At 43.6% G+C, this 14586-nt stretch overlaps 1 long non-coding RNA gene and 1 other non-coding gene across 2 annotated transcripts; both read left to right on the plus strand.

Annotated features, from left to right (window-relative positions):
• The first annotated feature begins 1400 nt into the window (after positions 1–1400).
• LOC105374761 (uncharacterized) lies at positions 1401–14022 on the plus strand. Its single transcript, XR_940140.3, has 3 exons — positions 1401–1527; positions 9633–9699; positions 12668–14022. It is a non-coding gene; the product is annotated as an uncharacterized LOC105374761 (long non-coding RNA).
• LOC124906156 (small nucleolar RNA U13) lies at positions 2171–2274 on the plus strand. Its single transcript, XR_007088745.1, has one exon. It is a non-coding gene; the product is annotated as a small nucleolar RNA U13 (small nucleolar RNA).
• Positions 14023–14586: the final 564 nt, after the last annotated feature.

Raw genomic sequence — 14586 nt, forward strand, 5'->3', positions numbered from 1 at the left:
TGTCCCACTATTTCCACACAAATCCGCCTCCCCTCTGTTGTGGCCATGACACCTTCCCCTCCTCTTGAGCCTGCCAGCCCTTGCCAGGTTCCTCCCAGCTCCTCATCTTTGCCTTCACTTTCTCCTTACTCTCCTCTTCCACCCCTTAATCTGCCCCCCTCCCGCAGCCCTTCCGGGCCTTCATCTCTTTATTCTAATTTAGGCTTCTCTCTCTCCCTTCACTTTTCCACGTCCTGTCCCCAGCAGCACCCCATCAAGTAAAATAAAGAACCCTCCAAGGAATCTACCTTCTTAGAAATTGAAGAGCAGGGAGACAATTATACGTACTTAACATTTAATATTTTTTGTGTTTCATGGATAATAATATCTACCTCATGAGGCTTTCGGGAGGATTAAAAGAGAGAGGGAATGTACACTTGGCAAGTGGCTGGCACATGTTAAGAATTCCCCAAATGTTTGCTGACATTATTTACTATTGTTCTGTAAATGATTGTACAATCAACACTGTAACAACACAGGGAAGAGGAAAGAAGAAAAAGACCAAAGGAATAAGAATCACCTAGAGAATCAACACCATATATTTTTCTAGTAGTAATCGTAAACATGCCACAGTGAATTTGATTTTTGTGCTTTTCCAGTGACAGAGCATTCTTATGAATCATAGCTCATAAATGAAAATATCAAAAGGTGGAAAGAAAGTCGTGTATTTTTAATGTATTTTAACATGTAGCATTTTGTGATGTTTTTAGATCGTGACAAAGAGGAAATTACTGTCATCTTCGTCCTTTATCTAGTATGAAGCTCTTTTTTTTTTTTTCTCTTTTTTTGAGACTGAGTTTTTGTTCCTGTTGCCCAGGCTGGAGTGCAATGGCACTACCTTGGCTCACTGCAACCTCTCCGTCCTGGGTTCAAGCGATTCTCCTGCCTCAGCCTCCTGAGTAGCTGGGATTACGGGCACCCGCCACCGTATCTGGCTCATTTTTTTTTTTTGAGATGGAGTCTTGCACTGTCGCCCGGGCTGGAGTGCAGTGGCACAATCTCGACTCACTGCAACCTCTGCCTCCCGAGTTCAAGCAATTCTCCTGCCTCAGCCTCCTGAGTAGCTGGGATTATGGGCGCCCGCCACCATGCCTGGCTAATTTTTTGTATTTTTAGTAGAGATGGAGTTTCACTATGATGGCCAGGCTGGTCTCAAACTCCTGACCTCATGATCTGCCTGCCTTAGCCTCCTAAAGTGCTGGGATTACAGGAGTGAGCCACCGCACCTGGCCCACCTGCTAATTTTTTTTTTGTATTTTCAGTAGAGATGGGGTTTCACCATATTGGCCAGGCTGGTCTCGAACTCCTGACCTCAGGTGATCTGCCCGCCTTGGTCTCCCAAAGTGCTGGGATTACAGGCATGAGCCACTGCGCCTGGCCTGAAGCTCTTTTTCTTTAGAAGACCATGCTGCAGAAACTTCAAAATACAAAAGAATGCTGCTATCTACTATCTGGTGAAGTATTTTAAGAGGACTGCAAAAAACTAGGGTAATAGTTTTTAAAATGCTTCCTTGTTTCTAGTAATGGAATGTAAGAGGGAAACTTTGTGGAGTTTAAGTCATAACTTGTGGTCTTGGTTGTCAATTCACATCATGTGATTGGAAATTGAAGATACTGCCCCAAAGGCTGAGACTGGGAAACAGACCCTATGCTGTGGACTGAATTATACCCCCCCCACCCCAAATTCACATGTTGAAGCTCTAACCCCCAATACGGTAGTATTTTCTTTTGGAGATAGAGTTAGATGAGCTCATGAGGGTGGGGCCTTCATAATGAGATTGGGGTCTTTATAAGAAGAGGCACCAGAGAGTTTGCTCTCCTACCACAAAGAGGTCATGTGAGCCCACAGCAAGATGATGGCTGCCTGTGAGCCAAGAGAAGAGGCTTCAGAATGAAACCTACTTGCTGGCACCTTGATCTTAGACTTCCAGCCTCCAGAACTATGAGAAGTAAATTCCTGTTTAAACACTCAGCCTATAGTATTTTGTTACAACAGCCCAAATTGACTAATTACAGTCTGGTGGCCCCCAGTATCAAAGTCAGCAACAAAGTTAACATAGAGCTTTCTTAGGCCAGCTTTTCCACACAGAGGGCAATCTCCTAAAAGTAGTGTGAACACTGGGACAATGTGATCCTTCTGTAGTTCATAAGCATCATGCCTGGGTTTTCGCGTTCCCATGTGAGCTGTGCCTCCCTCAAACCTTGTTATGGCATCGGCACATTATCCATCTGATGTGAAAAAGAAAAAAAAAAAGGAAGAAAATATAATTAAAAGGAGAATCAATGTGAGAGGGAAGGACATAAGCATAATACTGTAAAACCAATGGAAGGCTTGATGAAACTTAAAACTAGGAAGTTCTATTTTAAGAAATTGCAACATGCAGTTTAACTGTTTCTGGATTTCTTTGCCGGCTGAAAAGTGGGGATGATGAATTGACACCCACTGCAGGGGCATTTTGTTGCCTCAGCAAGTTTCATGCAGCTGCTTCAGTACTGACTACTGCGGTAGCTGCTGACAGCGTCTCCCGAGGGTCCCCAGCTAAGAGCCCTTAGACTACATGAGTGGACTAGGACACAAATTACCTGTGCCAAAAAGGTTTGCCTTGCCTTTGGGAAAACCTCATCTTCCCTAGAGGGAAATTCTTTTTTTTTTTCCTGAGACAGAGCCTCAGTCTGTCACCCAGGCTGGAGTGCAGTGGTGCGATCTTGGCTTACTGCAACCTCCACCTCCTGGGTTCAAGCAATTCCCATGCCTCAGCCTCCCGAGTAGCTGGGATTACAGGTGCACACCACCACGCCCAGCTAATTTTTGTATTTTTAGTAGAGAGGGGGTTTCACCATGTTGGCCAGGCTGGTCTTAAACTCCTGACCTCACGTGATCCTCTTGCCTTGGCCTTCCAAAGTGCTGGGGTTATAGGTGCGAGCCACAGTGCCTCGCCGTGGGAAATTCTTAATCCAGGTCTTTCTGGGGCTCTGAGAGAGAGTATAAATATGGTGAATTAAAGGCAGTTTCCCAGGGAGCTACGTGACACTAAAAAAAAAAAAAATTCTTCTTCTCTTCCTCCATTTTGCCATATATTTGTATTGTTCTTTCACGTGTAGTGGGAGAACATTTTACTTCTTACTAAGAGAAATGTCTTACGTTGAGGGGAAATGGTTCTTAGTTTAGAAAATTACCTTGCTGGCCCCTAGGGTTGCTGACGGTGAGACTCAGCTTCGGGGCAGAATGGGCTGCACAAAGAGGGTATTTGGATGTGAGACCTTTGGGAGATAATTTTGAATTGTCCTGCCCAGTAAGGTAGGATGAATATTGAATTCCTGGAGATGGTTCTGGAAAGAGGGTCAGGGAAGAGAAGGGAGGGACTGTGGAAAGGTTTGCAGGGGTGTCCAATCTTTTGGCTTCTCTGGGCCACATTAGAAGAAGAATTGCCTTGGGCCACATATAAAATACACTAACACTAATGATGCTGATGAACTTAAAAAGAAACTCAAAAAAAAAAAAAACCACATAATGTTTTAAGAAATTTTATGAACATTTTCACTGCTGTTCGGTTCTTGAAGGAAAAAAAAAAAAAAGAAAGTTTACGAATTTGTGTTGGGCCACATTCAAAGCCATCCTGGGCCACGGGTTTGACAAGCTTGGTTTAGAGGAAGGAAAGTGGAGGGGCTGACTTAATGTGCAGGTAGCCCAGTGTGAGGCCTGAGAAGGGAGAGCCAGCAAAACATCCAAAATGGCAGGGATGCTTCTGGATTCTAGCAGTCAATGTGAAAATGGTGGCTGTGCAGTGTTGGGAGGAACGTCTCTCCAAAGCTGTATAGAGATCTGCTGCACACAGCTGCTTTGGGCAAGTTACGGCTCCAAGAAATCAAGAGGGATCTAGGGTCCAGTGGTAGGACCAAGAGAAGGGAACAGCCACAGTGCAAAGCACAGGAATTCAGTGGGAATAGGAAATGGGAATGGGAGCTGGCCACCAGAACAAAACCCCAGGAATGCATAGCTTGAGCTATTTAGATGCAAAGGTTAACAGAAAGGGCAACTTGCTGAGGCTGAGGATTTCCCAGCTGTCAGATCTGAGTCACGTTAAGGAGTAAGGGTGCGGTTGTACTCTTGGGCACTGGAAGAGATCAAGTCCCATCCAAGTAGGGGACGGGGGTGGGGGGTTGGGGGGGCAGTAGGGGGATCCAGAAGAGGGAGGACATGCCCACAGCTATCCTCGACAGTCCTGCCCATCCTCTGGTGGAAAAGTCAAACCCCAGATTTCAAAATGGCTTCAGAGCAAATTCTGATCTGCTTCATGGTCTAACTTTAGAGATGTCTGAGGGTGTGAGTGGGCAGCTGGATGGATGAGATGGTTTTTTTATACTTTTAAAATTTCTTCTGTTTATTCCCATTCTTTCATATTTAGCAAAGTCATTTTGAAAGCCTGCTACAACTGTGTTAAGGATGTCAAATATAATTTTCAAATAGTGAAGAATATAACATAAGTGAGCCCTTGTCAAAGATGTGTTTAGCTCACTGATTATGACAGCAGCAAGATGGCAACACCAGTTCAAAGGTTATATGTAGTTGGTGAAAAGAAGAATGCAGAAAGACGGCAGAGTCAGATACAAAAAAGGTCCTGACAGAGCAATAACTGTAACCTTTGGGCTTATCTTTTCTACCAGAGAGAAATCATTTACCTCTCCACCAGAAAAAAAAAAAAAAAAAAACTTTGCAAAATGTATTAATATTTTATAGATTAAATCTAGCTTTTCAGAACCTAGCCTGATCAACTGTAAATAGTAAGTCAAGATGCCAGGCACAGTGGCTCACGCCTGTAATCCCAACACTTTGGGAGGCCAAGGTGGGAGGATCACTTGAGCCCAGGGGTCCAAGGCTGCAGTGAGCTATGATTTTGCCACTGCACTTCAGCTTGGATAACAAAGCAAGACCTTGTCTCTATTTAAAAAAATAATAAGTAGGTCAAATGAAGTTATATCCCTTAGAAAATCAGATGAGTGTTACGAAGGTTGTTACACAATAGTCAGTCATGTGGCTTTGAGAGGGCATGCGGCAATCTTTGTGCTGAATTTCCAATTTTTGGATGATTTTTCTTAAGGGTAAGCAGGGGACTAGATTATTGTCCTCACTTAACTCACAGAGCTAAAGGGGAGCAACAGAGTCTTGGAGCCACCATGATAGGGTAGAAGTAATAAAGGGAAAGAGGGATAGTTGAAACTCAAGAAATAAAAAGAAGACTGCCTTCTCATCCCTCCCCTCCTGGGGAGTCTTCTTTTACTTCTAAAACCAGATTTTTCTGCTACTGATCTAATAAAGGGACTGCTGGTCTCTTATATCCATCAATACCTTCTTGGGGACCCTTGGCTTCTTGGGGACCTTGGGGACTTCTTGGCTACCACTTGGGGACCCTTGAGTTTGCACTGGAGTCAAAACATTATAGGGAACCCAGGCACTGCCCTATCCACTAGGGGTGAGAGAGTTAAATGTTAAAATCTCTTTGGGACATTTTTGCAATATCTAGCAACATTATTTTTTTAATTGTGGTAAATTTATACATAACTTAAAATTTACCATTTTAACCATTTTAAGCATATGGTTCAATAATATTATGCACATTGATATTGTTGTGCTATTATTACCATCATCCATCTCTAGAACTTTTTCATCTTCCCAATTTCTTCCCCCCACAACCATTGGCAGTCACTATTCTACTTTTCGTCTGTATGAATTTAACTATTCTACTCATGTAAATGGAAATGTACAATATTTGTCCTTTTGTATCTGGCTTATTTCACTTGGTATAATATCTTCAGTCTGTCCATGTTGTTGCATGTGTCTGAATTTCATTTCTTTTTAAGGCTGAATATTCCCTTTTATGTATATACCACATTTTGTTTATCCATTTGATATGGTTTTGCTGTGTCCCCACCCAAATCTCATCTTGAATTGTAGCTCCCATAATCCCCACATGTCGTGGGAGGGACCCAGTAGAAGGTAATTGAATCACCGGGGTGGGTTTTCCCCATGCTGTCCTTGTGATAGTGAATTAGTCTCACAAGATCTGATGATTTTATAAAGGGCAGTTCCCCTGCACATGTTCTCTTGCCTGCCACCATGTAAGACGTGCTTTTGCTCCTCCTTCACCTTCTGCCACGTTTGTGAGGCCTCCCCAGCCATGTGTGAGTCCATTAAACCTCTTTTTTGTTTTGTTTTGTTTTGAGACAGAGTTTCACTCTTGTTGCCCAGGCTGGAGTGCAATGGCTCTATCTCAGCTCATCACAACTTTTGCCTCCCAAGTTCAAGGGATTCTCCTGCCTCAGCCTCCCGAGTAGCTGGGATTACAGGCATGCACCACCACACCTGGCTAATTTTGTATTTTTAGTAGAGATAGGGTTTCTCCATGTTGGTCAGGCTGGTCTCCAACTCCCAACCTTAGGTGATCTGCCCACCTTGGCCTCCCAAAGGGCTGGGATTACAGGCGTGAGCCACTGTGCCCGGCCAAACCTATCTTTCTTTATAAATTACCCAGTCCAAGTTATTTCTTCATTGCAGGATGAAAATGAATGAATACACCACTCATCCACTGATGCCCATCAACATTTAAAATGAACATACTCTTTTGATCCAGCAAGTCTATTTCAAGGACTTTGTCCTATGCATATACTTGCGTATATACACAAAGATGGTATTTGTAGAAGACCCTCTTGGTTGCTACCCAATAGACATTTCATCCTTTCTTCTTGCCAAGGACCTTGAGTTTCTTCAGGTATCAGGATGTTCGGTGATCAGGAAAAGCATGTTCTTCCATAGCTCCAGGGATTAATCTTAACTGGTATAAGCCAATAAGAGTAATTATTTCCCTCTTTAACAGTGATTGGTTTATGGATGGGTATGTTCTAGCTAATGATTTGTGAAGGGAAGTCTGTGGCAGGGCTTCTGGGAAAAGTTTTCCTCCCTGAGAAAAAGAGATGTGCGAGGAGGAATTGATTTCTTGTCTTTGAACGGAACTGAATCATGATGGGATGACTGGGACAGTACATGCTATCTTACTTCCAAACCCAGGGCAAAAAATCAAACACTCTGAAGATGGCACGAGAAATATGGAAAACACTTGGTCCCTTAATGACATTGTTGGACCACTAAATTAACTCATCCTGGGACCACCTAGCTGTAGATCTCTTGTTATGTAAGATAATAAATCCTTATGGTTTACTTATAGTTGGGTGTTCTGTTATTTTCATTCTAAAACACTAATTGATACAGTGTTTATCGCAGCATTGTTTGTAATAGTGAACACCCTAAATGTTAATCAATAGAGGACTCATTAAATAAATTATGTTACATCCATACAATAAAATACTATGCAGTTGTAAATAAAAAGAAGTGGATTTATATGCAGATATGGACTAAGATCTAAGACATAGTGAATAGGAGTCGGGCGCGGTGGCTCAGGCCTGTAATCCCTCTGCCTTGGGATGCCGAGGCAGGCGGATCACGAGGTCAGGAGATAGAGACCATCCCGGCTAACACGGTGAAACCCCGTGTCTTCTAAAAAGTACAAAAAATTAGCCGGGCGTGGTCACAAGCACCTATAGTCCCAGCTACTGTGGAGGCTGAGGCAGGAGAATGGTGCGAACTCGGGAGGCGGAGCTTGCAGTGAGCCGAGATCGCGCCACCGCACTCCAGCCTGAGCGACAGAGCGAGACTCCGTCTCAAAAAAAAAAAGAAAAGAAATAGTGAATAGGAATAGCAAAGTACATAAACATTTCTAAGTAGGCTCCTGTGTGTGTGTTGAAAAATATACGCATATATACGTTTGTGTAAATACAGAAAATTTATGCAAGTGTATGCAACAAATTTTTAATAAGGTACCTCTGGGGAATGAGGCTGGGAGTACCAGGACGGAAGGGAGACTTACTTTTTATTTTATGCTTCTCTTTAAAGTTTGTATTTTTATACCAAGATCATGTATTACTCTTTCAATTTAAAAAGAAAGTTCAAAACCACTACCACCATAGCAAAAACATTAATATCAGTTCACAGTGTAAACTGCCAACTTCCAGGCGCTGTCTTTGGCAGTGAGCCAGCCACGGATCTGCTTAAAGCTGTTAGAGGCTTGGCTTCAGAAGGTAGAAGCAGGACTTTCAAAAGAGGCACATTGTAGGTGGAATCTGGTCCAAGAAAATTTATCCCCAAACATAGGGTTAATTGACCCCCCTGTTTTGTCTTTTGTAACTACCCTAAGGCTGATATTCAGCTAGGATACATTGGCATGGGCATATCATTTATAACTGGGGTCCATTCTGACTGGGCTGGTCCCCTTTCAGAGTATTTTGTGCCCATGAGGGACCAGCTGTTAAATATCTTGAATATCATGTCTAACCTGTTCCACTCAGTATGCCTACCTCTTCTTGTGCCTTCAACCATCTGAATATGTCCTTAACTCTTGGTTAGTAACCTTGTCTCCTGATAGTGAACATTTTTGGGGACGTATTTGGCCACAGGTAATATAATATCAACCAAAATAGCTTCAACAATATACAGTTATTGGGCTGGGCATGGTGGCTCATGCCTGTAATCCCAGCACCTTGGGAGGCTGAGGCAGGAGGATTGCTTGAGTCCAGGAGTTCGAGACCGGCCTGGGCAACAAAGTGAGACCTTATCTCTATAAAAAATAAAAAAACTTAGCCATGCATGGTGGCATGTGCCCGTGGTCCCAGCTACTCAGGAGCTTGAGGCAGGAGGATCGCTTGAGCCTGGGAGGTTGAGGCTGCAGTGAGCTGTGATCACACCACAGCTTGGGCAACAGAGTGAGACCATGTCTCAAAACAAACAAACAAACAAACAATACAGTTATTTTGTATAACAAGTCTGGTTAGTAGTGGGCAGTTTTGGGGTTAATTAGGTGGCTCAATAGTGTCGTTGGAGACCAGAAGCCTTCTCACTTTTTTTTCTGCCATCTTGGCATGTTGACAAATCTCCTTGGCGGTCATCAGATGGCTGCTGTAGCACTGAGTATTGTCTTCACATGACAACACCTTAACAAGATGGTTAAGGAGGAGGATATAGTGGACCTTTTCCTCTTGTGATTCTTTCTCTTTCTTATTTTTAACGAATGAGTAAAATCTTCCCTAACAGCCATGAGTAGGTGTCCACTTGTGTGTGTGTGTGTGTGTGTGTGTGTGTGTGTGTGTGTGTGTGTTTTGAGACAGAGTCTCGCTCTGTGGCCCAGGCTGGAGTGCAGTGGTATGATCTTGGCTCACTGCAACCTCTACCTCCCAGGTTCAAGCAACTCTTCTGCCTCAGCCTCCTGAGTAGCTGGGACTACAGGTGCACGCCACCATGCCTGGTATTTTTTGTATTTTAATAGAGATGGGGTTTCACTGTGTTGCCCAGGCTGGTCTCAAACTCCTGAGCTCAGGCAATCTGCCTACCTCGGCCTCCCAAAGTGCTAGGATTACAGGTGTGAGCCACCGTGCCCGGCCCCACTTGTGTTTTACTAGCCAGAACTAAGTCATGTGACTACCCTTAGACCAACCAATTACTGACAATGAGGATGAGCTTTGGACTAATTATGATTAATCTTTTTCAGTTGTGCATACTGACCCTGAATCAAATCAGGTTTCTGCCTACAAGAAGGAAGAAGAAATGGCAGCTAGGTAAGTAATCAGCTATGACTGGCACTCATACCTCTTTAGTTTATGTTCTCTTTAACTTGGAATTCCATCAATAGTCTGTTGCTTGGCTGGGTACGGTGGCTCACGCCTGTAATCCCAGCACTTTGGGAGGCCGAGGCAGGTGGATAGCTTGAGCCTGGGAGCTTGAGACCAGCCTGGCCAACATGGCGAAACCCTGTCTCTACAAAAATTAGCCAGGTGTGGTAGCTTGTGTCTGTAGTCCCAGCTACTCTGGAGGCAGAGTTTGCAGCAATTAGAGATGGTGCCATTGCACTCCAGCCTATGTGACAGAGTGAGACCTTGTCTTTAAAAAAAAAAAAAAAAAGAGTAGTCTGTTGCTTCTTTCTTTCCATTTTGAAATAATGTTCATGTTTCTTATTATAAAAGTAATGTATGCTCATTGCTAATTAAAGGGAATATAGAATACACAGAGAAAATAAATCAACACGTATGTGTGTGTATGTGTGTGTGTGTGTGAGTGTGTGTATGTATTAGTCAGGGTTCACCAAAGAAACAGAAACTATATGATATATATGTTAATTAATTAATTTATTTTTGAGATAGAGTCTTGCTCTGTCGCCCAGGCTGGAGTGCGGTGGCATGATCTCGGTTCACTGCAGCCTCCGCCTCCCAGGTTCAAGCAATTCTCCTGCCTCAGCCTCCTGAGTAGCTGGGATCACAAGTGCTCACCATCATGCCCGGCTAATTTTTTATTTTTAGTAGAGACGGAGTTTCAACATGTTGGCCATGCTGGTCTTGAATTCCTGACCTTAAGTGATGTGCCCGTCTCGGCCTCTCAAAGTGCTGGGACTACAGGCGTGAGCCGCCACGCCCGGTCTGAACCAATATGATATATATGGATATATAGTAAGATATATATTGTGACGGATTGGTTCGCATGATTGTGGAGGCTGAGAAGTCCCATAATCTGCCATATGTAAGCTGTAGATTGTGACATTGTGGTAAAATAAGAAATACATATTTGTTCTCTCTGCCTGGTTCCTGGCACAGAGCCCCCAATCCCTTGGAATTCCTGGGTGATAGGAGGATCTTTTGTTCTAATGAGGTGACTCTTGGTAGGCTTCTGGATGGGAGTTGGTCACCAGAAAGACCAAGCCATGATTAGAAGCTTGGAACTTTCAGCTTCAACCCCCATCCTCTGGGAAGGAGAGAAGGACTGGAGACTGAGTCGATAATCAATCATGCCTATGTGATAAAGCTGCCATAAAAATCCCTGAGCTATGGGATTCAGAGAGCTTCCCCGTTGCTGAACACATGGAGGTACCAGAGGGTTGCGTGCTGACAAGGGCACAGAAGCTCCATGCCCCTTCCTGCATATCTCACCCTATGCATCTCTTCTCTTTGGTTGTTCTTCTGTGTTCTTTTTAAGGTCCTTTATATTAAATGGGTAAACATAAATAGTTTCCCTGAGTTTTGTAAGCCATGCTAACAAATTAATTGAACCTGAGGAGGGATTCATGGAAACTCCCAATTTATGGCCAGTTGGTCAGATATACAGTCACAACCTGGAGAACTTGTGACTGGCATCTAAAGTGGGGGCACTCTCCTGGGACTTCTTGTGGGACTGAGCCCTTAACCTGTGGTGTCTGATGCTAACTCCAGGTAGATAATGTCAGAATTGAGTTAAATTGTATATACCCAGTTGGCACCTGATGGAGAATTGGCTGATGACACACATTTTGGTGACTAGAGGTGAAGTATTGTATTGAGTGGTGAGTGTGTGAGGGTAGGAAAAGCGATTTGGTTTTTCCTATCTCAGACACCAGGAGAGTTGGTGATGTAGTTCCAGTCCAAGCCCAAAGGCCTGAGAACCAGGGAAGTCAATGGTATAAGTCCCAGTTCTAATCCAAAGACCTAAGAACAGGGTAGAGGGTGGGGTGTGGCAGATGGCATGTATCCTGGTCAGAGTCTGAAGGCCTAAGAAGTGGGAGGCTGATGGTTCAAGTCCCAGTCTAAGTCCGAAGGCCTAAGAACTGGAAGCACTGATGTCTGAGGGCCTGAGAAGATGGATATCCAAACTTTAGCTGAGAGAATGAATTCGCCCTTCCTCCGCCTTTTCATTCTATTTGGGTTCTCAACAGATTGGATCATGCCCACCCACATTGGTGAGGGTATCTTCTTTACTCAGTCTGCTGATCCCGATGCTAATCTCTTCCAGAAACATCCTCACAGACACACCCAGAGAGAATGTTTTACCAGTTAGCTATACATTCTTAAGCCCAGTCAAACTGAGACATAAAATTAACCATCACAGAATGTATGTGTATGTGCATATATATATATATGTGTGTGTGTGTGTGTGTGTGTGTGTGTGTATGATGATCTAGTTTAATATCTCTGTGCGTGTCTGTGATCTAGTTTAATATCCTACCTATTTTCACTTAACATTTCATGATGAACTTGCTGTTTCCCCTCTTGGTCCCAGCCCCCTCTTCACACATGTCCAAAATAAGGAAAAGAAGCACAGAATACATCATAAGTCTCAGTGAAGTGATTAATTAGATCAAAGTCACATTTGATTTGGAAATGTCCTTGTTTCGTCGCTCGTGACTGGTCTCCACATGGGCATGCCATCTTAACACTGTCCACTGAAAAGCACCCTTGTGGGTTCTGAGGACATTTCAACACCTGGGTGCAATGTGAGAATGAGGGAACATACTCCTCTCCAGGCTGTCTAGAGCTTGACATTGGGACTGACCACACCTTCATGGAGAATCTTGGCCTCATCCTTGCAGGCCTGACATAGTTTAGTTGTGTCGTACCTAAATCTCAGCTTGAATGGTAACTCCTACAATCTCTATGTGTTGTAGGAGGGACCCAGTGGGAGGTAATTGAATCATGGGGGCGGTTCTTTCTCATGCTGTTCTCGTGATAGTGAATAAGTCTCATGAGATCTGATGGTTTTATAAAGAGGAGTTTCCCTGCACAGGTTCTCTCTCTTTGCCTGCCGCCATCTACGTAAGATGTGACTTGCTCCTCCTTGCCTTCTGCCATGATTGTGAGGCCTCCCCAGCCATGTGCAACTGTAAGTACATTAAACCTCTTTCTTTCGTAAATTGCCCAGTCTTGAGTATATCTTTATTAGCAGCATGAAAATTCTGCTAATAAACACCTGTATCTCCAAACAAGCTGATAGCTTCAACTGTTATATAAAGTATACACATGCTCAGTGTTGGTGAGAGGGGTTAATCTTTGTCTTCACGAAACATTGCTCATTCCTTCAGTGTGTCCTTATGTTGGATTATAGGGAGCTGTGCACAGGAGTCTCTCTTGCTAAGCTGGACCTTTGGGAGCCACAGATGGGAAGCCGTTTGCCCCTCGCATAAGTTCCCTGATTATTCAATATGTCCCCAGTATACTGTCACTTCAGGAGGCCCTACTTTAGAAGAAACATGGTCTATGATGGTGCTGTGGATTATCTGTTTTTGTTGTTGTTTATTTGTTTTTTGAGACTGAGTCTCACTCTGTTGTCCAGGCTGTAGTGCAGGGGTGCAATCTCGGCTCATTTAAACCTCTGCCTGCCAGGTTCAAGTGATTCTTCTGCCTCAGCCTCCAAAGTAGCTGGGATTACAGGCACCCACCACCATGCCTAGCTAATTTTTGTATTTTTAGTACAGATGGGGTTTCACCATGTTGGCCAGGCTGGTCTTGAACTTCTGACCTCAAGTGATCTGCCCACCTTGGCTTCCCAAAGTGCTGGGATTACAGGCTGTTTTTCTTAATGTATAGTTAATTTTGGTTACAGAGCTGGCAGAGACAAATGCCTATTGGCAATAGGATTTAGACCTATTATCTGAGGACGGTTCCTCAAAGCTCAAAGTGAAGGAAAAAAGAGATAAAAGCAGATCTTTTTTTGCAATTCTGTTCCTTCAGGCCATGAAACTTAAATGTCATCTTTTAGGTAATGGAGAGCCATGAAAGTCTTTAACCTTAACTCTATGAGGACCTCCTTGGCAACATGTGGCAGATTATATTTTCCAAAGATGGCCATAATGTCTCCCATCCCCCATGCTTTTCTGCAATGTGACCTTGTCATTCCCTCATCAAGAGGTGGATTGAATTCTCCCACTGAATCTGGCTGGCCTTAGTGATTCCCATGTGAGGTTATCAGATTTGGTAAATGAAAATGCAAGATGCCCAGTTGAATTTGAATTTCAGATGAACAACAAATGGCATTTGTTCTATATAAGTATGTCTCATTAATATAGTTCGGATGTTTGTCCCCACCCAAATCTCTTGTTGAATTGTAATCTGCAATGCTGGAGGTGGGGCCTGGTGGGAGGTATTTGGGTCGTGGGGGCAGATCCCTCATTTCTTGGTGATGTCTTTGTGATAGTGAGTGAGTTCTCAAGAGATGTGGTCATTTAAAAGGGTGTGGCACCTCCCTCCAACTTTCTCTTGCTCTTACTTTTACCATGTGAAGTGCCTGCTCCTGCTTCATCTTGTGCCATGAATGAAGGTTCCAGAGGCCTCCCCAGAAGCAGATGCCAGAACTATGTTTCCTGTAAAATCTCAGAACCCTGAGCCAATCAAACCGTTTTTCCTTATAAGTGACCCAGCCTTAGGTATTTCTTTATAGTAATGCAAGAATGGCTTAATACAGACAATTGGTACTGGGAGTGGTGCATTGCTATAAAGATACCTGAAAATGTGAAAGCAGCTTTGTAGCTGGGTACCAGGCAGAGGTTGGAAGAATTTAGAGGGCTTAGAAAAAGACAGGAAGATAAGGATAAGTTTGGGACTTCTTAGAGACTGGTTAAATGGTTGTGACCAAAATGCTGATAGTGATATGGACAGAGAAATCCAGGCTGACAAGGTCTTAGATGGAAATGAGGAACTTATTGGGAA

This window comes from Homo sapiens, chromosome 2 (assembly GCF_000001405.40).
Source record: "Homo sapiens chromosome 2, GRCh38.p14 Primary Assembly".
NCBI classification, from domain to species: Eukaryota; Metazoa; Chordata; class Mammalia; order Primates; family Hominidae; genus Homo; species Homo sapiens.